General features: G+C 44.0%; 1 protein-coding gene and 1 long non-coding RNA gene across 12 annotated transcripts in view; both read right to left on the reverse strand.

Moving 5' to 3' along the window:
- Positions 1 to 18,205, reverse strand: part of COL23A1 (collagen type XXIII alpha 1 chain) — a 352,776-nt gene that overhangs the window by 200,561 nt on the left and 134,010 nt on the right. The window lies entirely within an intron of this gene.
- The window catches only part of LOC124901148 (uncharacterized), a 34,203-nt gene continuing 16,457 nt past the window's right edge, over positions 460 to 18,205 (reverse strand). The window contains exon 2 of the long non-coding RNA XR_007059080.1: positions 460 to 12,384. This is a non-coding gene — a long non-coding RNA (uncharacterized LOC124901148). The remainder of the gene's footprint in view (positions 12,385 to 18,205) is intronic.

Genomic DNA, 18,205 nt, shown 5'->3' on the forward strand with positions numbered 1-18,205 from the left:
AGAACTGAAGACACCAGGGCACTTGGTAACACAGTCCAACTTTACAATATCAAGCTGAAAGCACAGCTCTGGCCCCTCCTCAAGTTACTGCTTTAAGAGTTAAAAGATACTTGGGTTACATGAGCAAGAATGCCAAACACCTGGAGGGGGAAAAAAAGGTATGTAGGAGCTATCATATTGTTTATTTAAATTTACTATCTGAAAATATCTGGGCAAGAAAAGTAAACATAAGTGAGCTTTCCAGCCAGATCTGGGGTCCTGGTGAAATAAACCGCTTTACCTGTAGGAACGCAGTTCATCCCTGTATCTGACTGGTGTTTATGTATCATATGCTATGGAGACCACAGAGCAGGCAACACACAGCTAACATGCTGGTTCCTTACCCAAAAATACCTTGAAATTCCTCTGTATCTGCATTTGTAAATATTTTATGTAAACCAGATGGGTTTACAGAACACGTGCAGTGGAATCTGGTTTTATTTTTTAGCAACATGTACTATAAAATGCTTCAGAAAAATAATCTGTACATTGAGAAGGAAAAAAAAAAGATTTCTGGGTCTACTTATAAAGAGCGAGAGAATCAAGAACACTCTTTTAGGAAATGCTAGCATTAGAAGCATCTGCTCAGAACTGACTCTTGGGTCCAAACAAGTTGCCTTCAAGCAGCAGTCCCCAAACGTGGCTGCGCGTTATAATCACCCGGGGAAAGGTTACAACTCCTAGTGCACAGGCTTCCCCCTGTCCCAACTGCACCAAAAGCTCTGGGTGGGACTCAGCACTTTAGTAGTTTGTAAAACTCCCCTGGAGCTCCCAGTGTGCACCTGCGCCTGAGAGCTTGACTCAGCCCAGTGTGCATTCAAATCACCTGGGAGCTTGAACCTCTCCATGCCCAGGCTGTGCGCAGATCAGTTACATCAGGACCCAGCCAGCAGATTTTAAAGTTTTCCAGGTGATTCAAAAGGGCAGCCAGGACTGGGAGCCACTCCCCTTACAGGATGTGGGAACCTTCTGAAGGGATGTGACTGCTGATCTGGCCATGCATGATGCATGGACAGGCAAGAGCCAGAGGCCCCGGCACCATCATCGCAGTCCAGATGGAAGTCTTGCTCCCAAGTCACCTCCATCTTTTCTCTCTCAGCCACTTGCTGATTGAGGCTGAGCCAGTTACCAAAGTCTCTGTGGCTCCTGCTCCTTCCATGCCAGACCCTGTTGAACACATCCCTGGACTCCAGCTCCTTGTCTCTGGTCCACCCAGAGCCGGAGCTTTAGCCTAGGACCCAGACTTCTCCCTCCTGCCTCTTCCTTTCCCTCTCAGTGACCCTCACCCGGCAGCTGGAGGAATCTTCTGAAGAGCAAGTCTCATCACATCTCTCCTCTGCTCAAATCCTCCAGCAGATGTGAAGACACGAGATAAGCTGCTGGTGGGAACACGCCACGGTGCAGCTGCTTCAGAAGTCAGCGAGGCAGTTTCTTAAAGAGTTAAACATACGTTCACCATGCAGTGCAGCAACTCCGCTCCTAGGATCTCCCCGGGAGAAATGAAAACATACGTCCATACAACTCAGATGCAAATGCTCATAGAAGCGTTCTTCAAAATAGCCCCAAACTGGAAACAATCCAAGCATCCATCATCTGGCAAATGGAGAAACTACAGTGTAGCCAATCAATGGAATACCACTACATGCTACAACATGGATGAGCCCCAGAAATGCGACGCTGAGTGACAGAAGCCAGACACAAAGGACTGGATTGTAGGAGTCCATGTGTACACGGTTTCTAGAAAGGACAAATCTGCAGAGACAGAAAACAGATCAGTGGTTGCCTGGGGCTGGGGGAAGGAACGGGGATTGACGGACATGGGCACCAGGGCGCTTTTTGGGGTGATGGAGATGTTCTAAAACTGGATGGTGGTTGGACAACTCCATACATTTACTAAAAATCATGGCCCTGTCCACTTACAATAGGTGAATTTTATGGTATATTTCAAATAAAGCTGTTAAAAAAACAAACCACTTCCTATGGCTCACACAGGAGAGAGTACAGCATCTTGCTGGACACCCAATGTGCTCCACCATCTGCAGATTTGCCTTTCCGGGACCAACTCCCCAGGACCCAAGCCCCGTGGAACTCTCTCCAGGCTCATGACCCCCTCTGGAATTCACCTCATAACCACCGCCAGCTTCTCCACCGCAAGCTCCATCTCATCCTTCAACACTCTGGGCAAATGCCGCTTCCTCTGGAAGTCTGCACCACCGCTAGGATAATGCTTAGCAAAAATCAATCTCTCTCATTAGAGCAGTGCTTTAAAAACTCACACTAATGGGTTGTGAAATCAACTGTGCTCTAACCAGTATTTTAAAAAATGAAATACAATAGAAAAGAGAATGCGGTGTATACAGTAAGTACCTTATTTCATGAGATGACTGTTTTCATCTTTCTTTTTTTTTTTTTTCTGAGATGGAGTTTCACTCTTGTTGCCCAGACTGGAGTGCAGTGGTGAGATCTCGGCTCACTGTAACCTCTGCCTCCCAGGTTCAAGCGATTCTCTTGCCTCAGCTTCCTGAGCAGCTAAGATTACAGGTGCCCGCCACCATGCCCAGCTAATTTTTTATATTTTTAGTAGAGATGGGGCTTCATGATGTTGGCCAGGCCGGTCTCGGACTCCTGACCTCAGGTGATCCACCCTACTTGGCCTCCCAAAAAGTAGGGATTACATGCATGAGCCACCATGCCCGGCCTACTGTTTCATCTTTCTATGTGTGTATTATCTCTATGTGTACTGAATTCTGGGTTGCATATTTCTTAGAGTGGCTTGAGGTTTAGAAAGTTACGAAACAGATTTCAACTAGACAAGGCACTCCTTGAGGGCAGGGGCTGTGCTCTGTTTCTCTCTGTATCCTTGTGGTCAGCATGGGGCTTGGGACCCAGAAATTACCCAATAAGACGTCTACTCTGTGAGAGTGGCTTTGCAAGCATGTTGATTAAAGGCCCTTTGTGTCGTATTTTTTTCCCTCTCACACAACATGCAAACATTCTTTAAAAAGCTGTTTGTTGGCTGACAGACCACACCCTACAGTTAAGACTGGCAGCAAAGCTCTGCAAGAAGTTCAATGACTGCTGTAAATCTCACTTATAAAACTAATACATACACGTGCATTTTTTAGAGTGAAGATATATAGCCTAAAAATACTAATAAAATAATAATTCAAATCTAAAACTCCACATGGGACAGGCTGCGTAATTTGCAAAATCAAAGTGTGGGACCCTGTTCACACACTATTGAGAATTTTAGAGGGCAACTGCAGAGCCGGAAACCAAATTCAAGGCCTCTCGGTACAGGCGCACAGGGGCTTGCTGATGAAGCTGACCCCAAATTATAAAGACAGAGATGGGGGGATGCGGGGCTAGAGTTTCAAAGGGCTGCCTTAATGGTTCTTAAGATCCCATTTCACCCTGATGTTTGGAGAAAGACAAACACAAACATGCTTTTGAAACAAACAAAATAGTCAAGGAACCCCTAACAGACGACACGGGGTGACGACGCGGGGTGATGACGCGGGGTGGGCAGAATCAGCATTTGGCTCTACCACAAACCTCATCTGCTTGTCTTTGGGCTAAACATTCTGTGCCATTTGCCCAGATCTCAGAATCCCACCAACCCCAACCTGATGGCAGCAATGAAGGAAACCTGTGGGCCCCAAGTCATCAATAACAGGAGGACTGGGGTTTTGTGGAAGAAACCGTGTACTTCATAGCCTAAGCATGACCAGGCAGAGGGTCCAGTGGCTCATGCCTCAGTTTCCCTGCCCCAAATCCTCATCTGTTTGGCCAAGGCTTTGATTTTCAACCTGAGTCCCCACCCACGGGCCTGGCCCTCTGGGACGTCCAACTGAGAAACCACGCACGCCGAGTCCTGCAGCCTGGTCAGACCCCGAGCCTGGCCCCTGCTTTCTCCTCTTCCCCTTGGCCAAGGTCCCCAGATGATTAAAAAAAAAACAGTCTGAACTCCATCTCTCTCTCTTTGTCTTAGGAAAGCTGGGATGGGTGGGTGGTCAGGAAAGAGGGAGAGGCCTGTCTGAGGCACAGAAGTCTTATGAAAGGTTCTGTTTGCTGGTAATTCCATGAGGAAAATTGCCTTTGACTGGTTTGTCCAAACAGGTTTGCAAATTGAGATGGGAACATTTTTTAAAGATCACCGCCATCTCCACATGATTTAAAATGTCATCATTTAAATTATGTGGAGCTTCTTTTGAGAAACGTTTTACCCCTGAGCATGTCAAAAGCAATTTCCCAGAGTGCAAGCTTTATGAATCTAACATGATAGGCCCGAGCGTCTCCCTCCCTGACAGCTGGGGTCCCAGTCTGCCATTCGGGGAGCACCAGCGTGCTTCCTGCTGACTCAGGGAAACCCAGGGCGCCAAAGGGGCCTCACAAATCGCTCAGTCCCCTGATGATTAAAATCTTACTTTAAAGCAGCAGAAGCTGCTCTTTAAACAGAAGGCATCTCGGAGAGGCCAGGCTAGAGAAGAATCGGAGTGGAACAGCTCTGGCTGGAGGGAGCACAGGCGCCAAGACCTGACCTGCTGTACTCCCCCTCGCCACCCCTGCTGGGGAAGGGCCTCTGCCACCCTTAGAACTCTCCAGAGCCCAGCTTGGGAACCCGTGGTCTGTTCTGCCCCCCTCCCATATCCCTATTTCACAAGCAGGGGAGAATGAGCCACCAAAGGGTGGCCTCCCACGGTCTCACCGAACCTTCGGCTGACTCCAGGCCGGCGGTTTCCAGCACCCCAGGCGGCCTGTTTCCTTTTAGTTGCTGGGAATTTAAGGGCCCTGAAAGGTTTGAAGCAGCTTGTGCATCTGTGTGGTCCCAGTGGGGTCTCGCTGTCCCACTGCCTTCATTTGAGCTCTGTGGCCTGCAGTCCTCAGTGGGAGGAAGCACCTGCACGTCCTCACCCCACCCACCTACAGCGTTTCCCTGAAACCCATTAAAGTCACTGCGGCAGAACCCATGTGAAGACACTTACCATGTGCCACTTTGGTTCAAGGCAGGAAACGAACCCTACTTTCTCAGTGAGCTGCAACTTCAGAGCCTCGAGCGCTCTTCCTAACCGGATCCGAACGACTTCTACTCTGGAAGGTGATTCAAGACCAGACACACAAAGGCCAAATGTCTTGCAGCCACTCAGCTCCTCTTTGTTCAGATTCTGGCCAGAGTTTTCAAAAGTTACGAAAAACGAAAATCTTCTTCTTCTGGGGATGTCCAGTTCTGTAAATTTTTTGTTGTTTTTTGTTTCTTTTTTGAGATGGAGTCTTGCTCTGTTGCCCAGGCTGGAGTGCAGAGGCACGATCTCGGCTCACTGCAATCTCTGCCTCCCAGGTTCAAGTGATTCTTGTGCCTCAGCCTCCCAAGTAGCTGGGATTACAGGCGCTCGCCACCATGCCCAGCTATTTTTTTTTTTCGTACAGACGGGGTTTCACCATGTTGGCCAGACTGGTTTCAAACTCCTGACCTCAAGTGATCCGCCTGCCTCAGCCTCCCAAATTGCTGGGATTACAGGCGTCAGCCACCGAGCCCGGCCTTATTTTTGAATTTCTAAGCATTTTTTTTTTATTAGTTATTCCTGATTGTATACCCTAATGGTTAAATAATGGGACCTATGTAATTTCTGATTTTGAACTATGCTGTCATCTAACATATGGCCACTTATAAAAATATATTATGTTAAGATATAAAGAAAATGGGCTGGGCACAGAGGCTCACGCCTGTAATCCTAACACTTTGGGAGGCTGAGGCAGGTGGATCGCTTGAGCCTGGGAGATTGAGACCAACCCAGGCAACATGGTGAAACCCTGCCTCTACAAAAAATAAAAAAATTAGCCAGGTGTGGTGGCACATTCCTGTCTGTAGTCCCAGCTACTTGGGAGGTTGTGGTGGGAGGATCCCTTGAGCCCAGGAGGTCAAGGCTGCAGTAAGCTGTGATTGCACCACGGCCGGGGTTACAGAGCAAGATTCTGTCTCAATAAAAAATAAAAAAGTAAACAAACAAGATATAAAGAAAATGTCAACAAATCCCATCCCCCCCAAATATCTAGGTAGTTCTGTTTTATTAATCTTGCCAAATATTCAGTGAGGCCTTTTGATCTGAAGACTCAGGGAACTCTGTTGATTATTTCTTTCATATTTGTTTTTCTCTGTTCTCTCCTCCTAAAACTTCTACTTTGGATATGTGTAGTTTTGTATTAGAGTTTTCCTCTGTGTCTCTTATTTTCAAAATGAGAGGCAAATGACATGAGATGGTGAGACAGTGCACTTTAGTGGCAAAACACAGGACAAGACTGGGTGTGGTGGCTTACAGCTGTAATCCCAGCACTTTGGGAGGCCAAGGCAGGCAGATCATCTGAGATCAGGAGTTCGAAACCAGCCTGGCCAAGATGGTGAAAAGCCGTCTCTACTAAAAATGCAAAAAATTAGCCAGGTGTGGTGGTGTACATCTGTAATCCCAGCTACTCAGGAGGCTGAGGCAGGAGAATTGCTTGAACCTGAGAGGTAGAGGTTGCAGTGAGCTGAGATGGCGCCACTGCACTCCAACCTGGGCGACAGAGTGAGACTTTTTGTGAAAACAAAACAAAACAAACAAATAAAAAAACCCACACTACAAGTTCTTTAAGCCCTTTCTGCTTTAGTTTTCCCCGTAGGTGAAATGGGGAAATATAAATATAATACAGTAGCTTACCTCATGTGAGGATTAAGCTACACAATGTATACACAGCACTTAGTAAAGTCTCTGGTACATCACGTGTGTTCAATAAATGTTACTTGCTATTTATTTCTGAGAAAAAAAACATTGCCTGGCTAGTGCTAGTACCTAATATCCTAAACAAAACATTAGCAAATTTGATTTAAACACAGACTAGAAGAATAATACATGTGATCCAAGTAGTATTTATTCTAGGATTGCAAGGATGGCTCTATATTATAAAATTTGTTAATATAACTTACGACATTAATTAGTCAAAATCATTCATTTAAGAATCTTTCCTTTTCCCGGTGATTTGAAATATGTCACTATAATGATACATTGTACTAAATTATTTTTTATACTGGGGTCTGTTTCAGACATTTCTTTGTTTCACTGATTTGTTTGTTCCTATACTGGTAACATCTGTTTTCACTATCATTACTATAGCTTTATAAGATATTTTAATATCAGATGCCCTAAGTGTCTCTCCCCTTTGAATTTTTCCCTTCTGAAATTTTCTTGGCCATTTGTACATGTTTATTCTCCTAGATGAAATTTATAATTATGTAGTCAAATTCCCAAAGCGTCCCATTACGATTCTGATGGAAATCGTACTAAATTTATATATGAAACTGAAAAGAGTTGACATCTAAAGTAGCCAACCAGTCATTTCTATGACATCACCACTTTGAACGACTTGCTACCTATTTGGAGAGGAAAAGTAGATTAGAAACTACATCGAAAAGATGAAGTACAGAGAGTTTAAATATTTAACTACAGAAAATTAAACCTTAGAAGCACTAGAAGAAAATATTTCTACTATTAGGAGGGCAAAGAATCTTTCCAGGATATGACACCAAAGACAGATGCCATGAAGAAACATGTTTAGAATCAAAAAATAAAAAAAAAGATTAAGTGAAATTGAAAGGCAGCTGAGAAACTGAAAACCATTTTGCAATATATATTCAAGACAAAAGATTAATATCTTCCATGTGTAAAAATCTTTTCCTTATCACCTGGAAGGGGCTGAAATGTCTGATGTAAAAGAGAAAAAAGTTACACAAATAATTAGCAAAATAACTATGACTGTCTAGTAGCATATAAAAAGTCTGCCACCTCTTTAATTACGTTAATTCAAATTAAACAAGAAAATTTTTTTAATCAAAAAATTTCCATATATATATATTTTTAAACACATTATAACACCCAGTACAGGGGCGTTCTTAAATAGAAGAGCTTTAAAATGTGCAAAGATGTAGCTATAAACATGGTCATACAATATTAATTAAAATAGCAAAAACTGAAAATAATCTAAATTTGTACAAATGGGGAATTTTGTGAAAAATATTTAATATCCTAAAAAGATGTTCACACAAGCATAAAACTACATGAAAAATAATGTTATTCAATTTAACAAAAGAAATAAACAGAAAAAGGAAAGAAAGAATAAAAGGAAAAGAAATTATATATACATATTTTTAAAAATTCAGATAGGATACAGCCCATAATATTACCAGTGTTTATCACACAGAAAAAGCAAGATTATATAGTTGATTTTAATTTTCTTTTGGCTTCTCTAAATTTTATACAACAAGCTTGTATTACTTCTTTCATTAGGAGAAAAAATTTTTTTTCTATATACATTTTCAAAACAGGAGAAAAAAAATCAGAAAAATGATAGCCACCGCTGTCATAGATACTATGAAGTCTGACATTTTTAAACATTGCTGACAGCACTATGAAATGCCCTAAACATCTGATCACCAATTTTGCAACAAAACTTCATGTTTTATGACCTTGTGAATCTATCCCAAAGAAATACAGTTCAAAATACTGAAACAGTTATGCACATGAAAATGTTCACTGCAATACTGCTTGTAAAGGTGAAAAATTAGAAGCTAACCATGGTATAACAGAAGGGTGGTTAAATAGTACACACCTACTGAATGACTCAAGAGAATTTTTAGGAAAAGCCTTAACAGGTTGAGAGAAAACCAAGAGAAAATGATTGTTTATAAACTCTAATTATGAGAATAAATCATGCTCATAGTTAAGAAACACCAAAAGGAAACATAAAAAGTAATGATGGCTGTTAGGACATAGAATTACACGTGATTATATCTTCCTTATTTCTGTTTTCCAAATGCAGCTATATTACCTTTATTCTTTTTTTATTATTATTTTTTTTTTTCTGAGATGGAGTCTTGCTCTGTCACCCAGGCTGGAGTGCAGAGGTACAATCTCAGCTCACTGCAACCTCCATCTCCCAGGTTCAAGCGACTCTCCTGCCTCAGCCTCCCGAGTAGCTGGGATTACAGGTGTGCACCACCACACCAGGCTAATTTTTGTATTTTTAGTAGAGATGGGGTTTCACCATATTGGCCAGGCTGGTCTTGAACTCCTGACCTCAAGTGATATGCCCACCTCGGCCTTCCAAAGTGCCCAACCACCTTTATTCTTTAGAAACATTATACAGTCATGTGCCACATAACATTTGGGTCAATGACGCATATACGGCAGTGGTCCCTTAAGATTATAATACCATATTTTTACTGCACTTTTTCTATGTTTAGGTGTGTTTAGATATACACATACTAACCATTGTGTTACAACTGCCTGCAGTGTTCAGTACAGTAACATACTGTTAAGGTTTGTAGCCTGGGGCAACAGGCTGTACCACACAGCCTAGGTGTGTAGTAGGTTCTAACATCTAGGCTTGTGAGTACACTCGCTGATGTCCACACAATGACAAAATTGCCTACTGATGCATTACTCAGAATGCATCCCAGTTGTTAAGCTACATGTGACCATATCTGGAAGAGAAAAAGAAGAAAAAGTAAATTAGACCGCAAGATGGAGAATCTGTTGGAAGGAGGAGAATATGAAGGGTGTGAAGTAAGGCTGGTAGAGTACTGCCTAGGCTGGCAGGGACCTTTGGAATGTGGGGGTTGGCAGGTTTAAAGGGGCTGACTCCCGTTTCTGGTTGGGGCAATGAGCTGATAATGATGCCTTAACTTGGAGCATGAACAGAGATTTCATGGCATGTCAGGAGGAACCCACACTCGAGGGTCTGAGTGTTGGTGCTCCCCCAAAATTCATATTGTTACCCCCAATGCGACAGTATTGAGAGGTGGGGGTGCTTAGATTAGGTCATGAGGGCTCTCCCCTCGTGAACGGGATTAGTGCTAGTCACAGTCCGTTTTGTTCTGTTAGTGCTAGTCGCAGTCCGTTTTGTTCTGTTAGTGCTAGTCGCAGTCCGTTTTGTTCTGTTAGTGCTAGTCGCAGTCCGTTTTGTTCTGTTAGTGCTAGTCGCAGTCCGTTTTGTTCTGTTAGTGCTAGTCGCAGTCCGTTTTGTTCTGTTAGTGCTAGTCGCAGTCCGTTTTGTTCTGTTAGTGCTAGTCGCAGTCCGTTTTGTTCTGTTAGTGCTAGTCGCAGTCCGTTTTGTTCTGTTAGTGCTAGTCGCAGTCCGTTTTGTTCTGTTAGTGCTAGTCGCAGTCCGTTTTGTTCTGTTAGTGCTAGTCGCAGTCCGTTTTGTTCTGCCATAACAGAATACCCGAGACTGGGTCATTTGTAAGGAACAGAAATTTATTTGGCTCATAGTTCTGGAGGCTTGGAATTCCAAGATCGAGGACCTAGCATCTGGCAAGGGCCTTCCTGCAGCATCATAAGCTGGTCGAAGGCATTACAAGGTGAGAGAGAGAGCAAGAAGGGACCAAACTCATCCTTTTATTATGAACCCACTCCAGCAATAATGGCATTAATCCATTCATGAGGGCAGTGCCCCCAAGACCCAAATACGTCCCATTAGGCTCCACTTCCGTATACTGCTGCACTGGAGATCAAGTTTCCCACACATGAAGTCTGGAGAACACGTTCAAACCCTAGCAGCACCCTCATAAACCTCACCCCACGAGGATCAGCCCTCAGAAACACTGAATCTGCTTGCACCTTGATCTTGGACTTCCCAGCCTTCAGAACTGTAAGAAATAAAGTTTTTTTTTTTTTTAAATAAACCATGCTTTTTTGTCACTTAGGTTCATTTCTTTTTTCTTTTTAAAATAATTTAAAAATATATATAAAATAAAATAATGGATTAGAGATGGGGTCTCCCTCTGTCACCCAGGCTGGAGTGCAGTGTTACGATCAGAGTTCACTGCAGCCTCCAACTCTTAAGCTCAAGCAATCCTCTCACCTCAGCTTCCCAAGTAGCTGGGATTACAGGCCAGAATTATGAGAAATATATTTCCATTGTGTATAAATTACCCAGTCTAAGTTATCTTTGTTATGGCAGCCCAAGTGGACTGAGATGCTATCAGAGGAACTGGGAGGCCCCTGGGAGGCCAACCCTGCCTGCCCTGTGTCTGGCCCTGTCTTCCCCCACGTCTGCCGCTGGGAAATGGTCATGGGAAGCAGGCACCCCAGCCAGCCTGAACCCTGTGGTTCCCTGATAGTAACTGGCCATTCGCCTTCTGGTCATGACTCTGATAAGAGGTTTCTGGCTCAGAGCCGCTACAAACCGAGAGGTTTCTCGCTCACAACCACTACAAACCCGACAGCAACGACGCTGTCCTTCAAGCCTCATGAATAAAGCTGTTTTCTATGGTTGGATGCAAAAAGCATTCCCCCCACCCCCCTAAATGAAGGCATTAAAAATAATGCTCATTAAAGTCACCTCAGACAGGATAATTAAAGGTAGAACTGTCCCGGACTAAACACAGCTTTCAACCTCCAACGATGCCGCACCTCCCCCACCCCACCCCACCTTTTTACTATTTTTCCTAATTAGAGAAGTGGCCCGAGACACAGCAGAGCTTTTGTTGTCTGGTCTCGTATGTTTCTGAGAAAATTATACACAAAGCACCCTTTTGCAGAGCTCTAGAGACAAGGCATGGGCACTGAGTGGCATCCAGCGCCGGTTAGTAAGTGACAGGAACTGGACTTCACGCGTTGTGTCCAAATGCCCCTTTCACCCACGTTGGTCTAGTAGCCATCTGCTGACCGTATACCCGGCGCAGAAGAACAACACCTGACCTCCATTAACAGTGTCTGCCACACCTCAGCAAGTTCAGATACCAGATTCCAGGTGACACCTTGTCACTGTAGGACCTGTTTACTATGAAATGGCAGCATTCCAAAGCCAGCCCCGGAGCAGGAACAAGGCTGATTTAGATGTGGGAATTACATACCCTCACGGCCCTATGGTGAAATAAAACATAATGCCAGACCCTGAGCCCTCCCATCCAGCAAGCAGCCCTAGGTATGTGGCCACCTGGTGTAGGTGAGAAGTGTCGTTTCCAGGTGCTAAGCAGGGCTCTAACTGCTGGTTGTCCGCAAGGATCGTTTTCCCCTTCTTCTATGGTAAGAAAAACGTTAGGATGGCATAAGCCTTCCTGGTCCCACATTCCCTTGCAGTTGGCGGAACAGATGGGAGCAGCTTCCTTCTCGGGCTCACTCTTGAGAGAAGGTGCGTGCCACCCCGCCCTTTCCTTTCTTGCTTCCTGCAGGCTGAGTGATGACCCAGGAGTAGGAGCTGGAGCAGCCAGCGGGGGCCAGGAGAGGACATCGCACGCTGAGAACGAGGGAGCTACAGAACAGTAGTAAGCTGGGTGTCCACAGCCTCCGAGCCGCTACACCGGTGTCTGTGCTGTTACGAAAGAGGAAAACAGATCTATCTTGCTTCACTATCTGGAGGTCTCTGTCATAGCAGCCCAACCTGAATCCTAACACACCATGGGTGGCTGAAATTAACAGACATGTTAATAGTAACAATAGCCAGCTTTTGTTGAATATCAAACTCGTGCCATGCAGTAGACTAGGTGCTCTCTCCATGTATTATCTCACTTAATTCCTCACAACAGCCTGGGAGGTAGGGACCATTTGTCCTGTTTTACAGATGGAGAAACCAAGGCCCAAGAAAGTGGGCAACGTTATCATGAACTGCAGACAGAGCCAGGATAAGAACACCCAGTTCAGGGCTCCTCCCCTTACCCTGTGCTGGGTACTAGCCCTAAGTTAGCAACTTTTTCTTTCTATCTCTAAATTATTTCTAAGAACGTACTACTTAAGTCAAGGTTAATTCTCAGCACAAATAGAATAAAGAATTATAGGTCTCTATGTTATTAAAACTAAATCCTTGCAGAACTCAATTATCAACTTCTATTAAAAAGGACTTTGTTTTCAAAGCAAGCTTTCCTGTTAAAAAAGTGGAAAAGAGGGAAAACTTTAAATCTATCGAACAATTATTTACATTTTAAGAACTGGTATTTTCAAGACAAAACCCCCTAGAGGAGAAACATAAGATCATTTAACTTCTAATTTTCTTAATCAGTACAATTATTTCCCATATTCCTTTACTATTTGAATTTTACCCCAAACACTCTGATCTCTAGAAATCCTAAGAGAATAAGAAGCAATGAAAGAATTTAGTAATATGGTCACATTAAAAAATTAATACAGGCTGGGCACGGTGGCTCACACCTGTAATCCCAGCACTTTGAGAGCCCAAGGCATGCAGATTACTTGAGGTCAGGAGTTTAAGATCAGCCTGGCCAACATGGTGAAACCCTGTCTCTATTAAAAATATAAAAATTAGCTGGGTGTGTGGTAGGCACATAAGTAATCTCAGCTACTCGGGGGCCTGAGGCAGGAAAATTGCTTGAACCCGGGAGGCAGAGGTTGCAGTGAGCCGAGATCTCATCACTGCACTAGAGCCTGGGCGACAGAGCGAAACTCCATCTCAAAAAAAAAAAAAAAAAAAATTAACACGGAAATCAATAGTTTTCCTATGGTAAAGACAACAGCCAGTGATTAGATCTAAAGAAAGAAAACATCCTATTTCTTTCACAGTCTAGACTATTTTATTCTAAAATACAAGATACCTAGAAATAAATTTAAGACTTATAATATCTACATGAAAGAAAAGTTTCAATCTCCTAAGAGATGAAAAGTAAGATTTGAAACAGTGGAGATGCATTTCATGTTCACGTTTTTCAGTAGGAAACATCATAGAAATAATAATTCTTATGTTAATCTATAAATTTAATATAATTCACACAAAAAAATACCAATTAAGTTTGTGGGCAAACTTATTCTAAAGTTCATATGGAAAGCTAAAAATGCAAAAGTAGCTAGAAAAATTCCAAAAAGAAAAATAAGTAACAAGGGAGGATAAGTCCTATCAGATACCACGATGTATTATAAAGTCTAGGTAATTAAAAGGGTGACATTGACACATGAATAGACAGATCAATGGAACAAAATAAAATGTCCAAAAGTAGACAAAACTGTGGACAAGAATTTAATTTATGAGGAAGGTGATACTGCAAACTAATAGGGGAAATATATGGAATATTCAATTATCAGTTGAAACAACTGAGAAGCCACCTGAAACAATGAAACTGGATTCACATTTCCTACTTTACACGGACATATTCCAAGCAGATCAGAGTTTAAAGGCAAACCTGAGACCATAAACTGGTCTAAGAGAAACCAGGAGAAAAAGCTTTTGGAAGTTTGCAGTGATGAGAATCTTTCTAATCCAGGAACCATAAGAGAAAAGACTGATAAAATGGCCTAGATAAAAATTAAGAACATGTGTATCTCTAGAAACTGCCATGAGCAAAATCAAAAGGCTAATGACACACTGGGAAGAAATACACTCCATTCATTCATAACAGAGCTTATTTCTGTAATACATAAGGAGTGCCGACAAATTGCTTTAAAAACCAGCAACAGAAACAAAAGCTATGATCAAACAATTTACAGAAAAGGGAAAGAGGTTCAACCACACTCATAATAAGTGCACTGCAAATTGAAACTTCTCCAAGACACAATTTTTTACCCAAAAGAATGGCCCAGATCCAATACCTGTTAATACATGGAGGTGAGGGGATGGTGCACCAGGAGCATAAAATAGAACCTTGATAATAAACAATTTGTCAATGTCCGTCAAAATCAGAACTGCTAATTGACCCACGATTTCCACTAGGACCTAATCAGATATGTGTACCTACATGTACAGGAAATAATGGATATATACATTAATTCCATGATATTGTCTGTGATGGCAAAAGAGTGGACACAACTGGAATGCCCATGAGCAGAGGTCTGGTTAAAGAAACCAGGGCACATCCATGCCAAGGAATCCCACACGGCGAGAAAAACCAATGAAGAAGCTCTTTAGAGACACAGGGAAAGGATCTCCATGACATGCTGTTAAGTGAAAGAAACAAGGTGCAGAACAGTAAGTGCCGTATGTTGTGTGTTGTAAAAAAGGAGAACAAGAGACACACACACAACATTATCTCTGGAGGGACACTGCATGAAACCAAAGCTCTAGTGTTCAGTGGGGAAGAGAACAGGACATCTGGAAACCAGCATACACAGTGCAGCCTACTCTAGCCCCGTGAAGAGATGACCTGGGGGTATCATGTTCTTCCAGCTATTAGAAGAAAGAGCATGATGGAGCACCCTTTCTTCTTGTCTCACTAGCCACTCACTTTCTGAGTCATTCCCGTGCCTGTGGTGCTGTTGTAAGGGCTGGGAGGAGACTGGCCATGCGGGTTTGGAATTTCCCTCAATTCTGTTAACTGCAGGATTCATCCTGAAGCACCCACGCTTCAGCTGACCAAGGAATCTACCCCTTAATTTAAAAGTTTGCACTTTCACAGACTTCCAAAGTACAGAGCTAGGAGGGTTCTTAAGATTGGCCCACAGTAGACTTCTGTGGATTCAATTCATTGGTTCCTTCAGTCAACCAGCTCTCCACAATGCAGATGAGGGCAAAGATGAGGATGCTCTTCTCCCCATTCCACAGACAGGTGAAACGACTCGTTCACAGTCACACACTTTTTCAGTAGCAGTAGCAGACGAGGAATTCAAACCCAGGCAGTCTGTCTCACTTCTCACCACGATTCCATACTGACTCTCAAAACCTACTCCATGCCATGCCTGTGCCAGACCAGAGATATTAACATAAAAGAAAAAAATAGTTCCTAGTTTTTCAGGGCCTTTGGTCTAGGAGCAGGGGTATAGATATTGTGGCCAAAGTTTGTAAGATAAAACCATTTTATAGAAAAAGTTTAAATATCACACTCTTAAAAAAAAGAGACGTATTTATTTTTGTCTTTGCAAGCCCTCTGTCCGTCTTCATACGGTGGAGCACAGAAACAATTACACAGAAACACAACATATGGACAGTTAAGCAACAGCCCTGAAAAGTGATCACAGATGAAGTTAAAAGGGCTGTTTTCTAAAATACCCTGCCCACCCACCCTCAATCTTACCTCAAGGACCAGGTTAACAAAGCCAGGCGATGTTTGAGAATTGCTGACATGAAATGAAAAAGCTCATAGAGTACTTCATTCAAACGTTTTGAAATTTAAAAGCCTATGAAAAGCAACTCAGATCAAAAAGTGAACAAATGGTCACTTTCTCTATGGTTATCAAATAGTGCAGATAACCTAGGCCTGCAGGCTGCGTGCTGTCAGCTAAAAACATGCCTCCAGGAACAGGATGTGCATTGCTCTCCAGTGAGGTGATGCCAGGTGGGTGGGGGCAGGCCTGGCTTGGCTTGGGGTGACCAGAAAGGAGGAAAAGCCTGCAGTCTCCTGGCAAGGCATTTAACATCTGTGGGCCTCAGTTGCCTCGCCTGTGAAATGGGCATAATCACAACCTTTGGGCAGAATTATGAGACTCAGAAGAGCAGGCTCCCAGCAGTGACTCCCGGGATTCCCTTCCCTATCTCCCAACACACAAGATAACCACAGGCCCCTGGAGACCACATCCTCACTCCTGTGCAACCAGGAAGGCCTGCCAGAGTGGCTGAAGAGTGAATTCCACGCCGGTGTGCAGGCGTGTTCATTAATCCTTTATTGCGTGTATTAGTTTCCCGTGGCTGTTAAAAAATACCACAAATGGTGTGGGTTAAACGGCAGGAACTCATTCTCTCTCAGTTCTGGAGGCTGGAAGCCGGAGTCAAGGTGTCGGCTGGGCCTGCTCCCTCTGAGCCCCTGGCTAGGACTGCTCCATCCCCTTCCCGGCCTGTGGAGGCGCCTGCCATCCTTGGTGTCCTTGGCCAGCAGCTGGGCCGCTCCTCTCTGCTTCTCCCCATGCACGTGACGTGCACACAACGGTGGCCACGCAGTCTTGTCAGGTTGGATTAAGGACCTGCTCCCCTCCAGTCTGACTTCATTTAACTCATTACATCTGCAAAAGACCCTATTTCCAAATAAGGTCACATTCAGAGGAACTCCTGCAATCTTTCCGGGGGGGACACAGTTCAACCCGTACCACTGAGCAGTCGCTGACTGGGTCACCGATGAAGGCGTGAAAAGTCACGCACGGGCCTGCCCGTGGGCCCGCCCTAAACCTTTCCAACCCGTTTGGGAGGAGTCCTGGTGCAGAGTGACAGCTGGGGGCCAGGCCACAGGCACCAGCATGGGAGGGCTGCCCGCCTGACCCTGGCATCGGCTGACACAGCAGGGTGGAACCCCAGGGGGGCTGCAGCCAGGGCAAGTCACTCAACTAAGTAAGCTTAGGTCCTCCTGTGTAAAGAGAGTAATAACAACACCTGGCCACCTGCATGAATAAGGCAGCTCTCAGGCCACAGAACCCCAGAATCTCAGCCTGGGAAGCACCATCCACCCAGCTGACCAAGCGAGAATCACGGGAGTCCCCCTGCATCAGCCTCCACATCCAGGCATGACACCGGCCCTCCCTGGCATCTCCGCCATCGCTTCTGTGTGTTTCCTCTCTGCCACGCGGACGGACCGCACCTCAAGGCCGAGAGCTGGCACCTATCCCCTGCCCACCCATCCCACCAGGCTCCACGAGGAGGTCAGAGCGGAGGACCAGCCCTCTACAGTGGCCCTATGTCTGACACTGGCTCCCTCAGCTCGCCCGCCCATCAGGAGGAAGCCAGACTCCACCTAAGGCCATTCCAATCAATAGACCACCGAGATGGTTTAACTTAATGAATAATTCTCAGGTGTATTTCGAAGAATAAACAGGCAAGAGTAGCTAAGACAATTTTTTGAAAAGGAAAAATAACAAGAAAGGGACTTGAGTTGTTAAGGTGGATTACATAACCACATGAATTGAAACAAATGGGCACTTGGTGCAGATTTTGAAAAGACTCTCATATACCAAACAATTTCGGGTACAATAGGAGAGAAACACAGATTGTTCTGCAGATGGTGTTAGAACAACCAGTTATATGGAAGATCCTCAAGTCATATCCTTCCCTCAACCTTGCCACCATAATAAGTTACAGATTTTCAAAGAGTTATACGTAAAAATAAATGAAGTCTTCTATACTTCCCTAGGCTTCTATAATTCCATGGCAAACATGGATTACTTTTGTAGTGAGGGAATAAACAATAAAAATGGAAAAAATAAATGAAGCTTTATATTAAACCAGAAGGAAATACAGCGAAACATGTAACCGATATCAGATGGGACTGGAC

This window comes from Homo sapiens, chromosome 5 (genome assembly GCF_000001405.40).
Source record: "Homo sapiens chromosome 5, GRCh38.p14 Primary Assembly".
NCBI classification, from domain to species: Eukaryota; Metazoa; Chordata; class Mammalia; order Primates; family Hominidae; genus Homo; species Homo sapiens.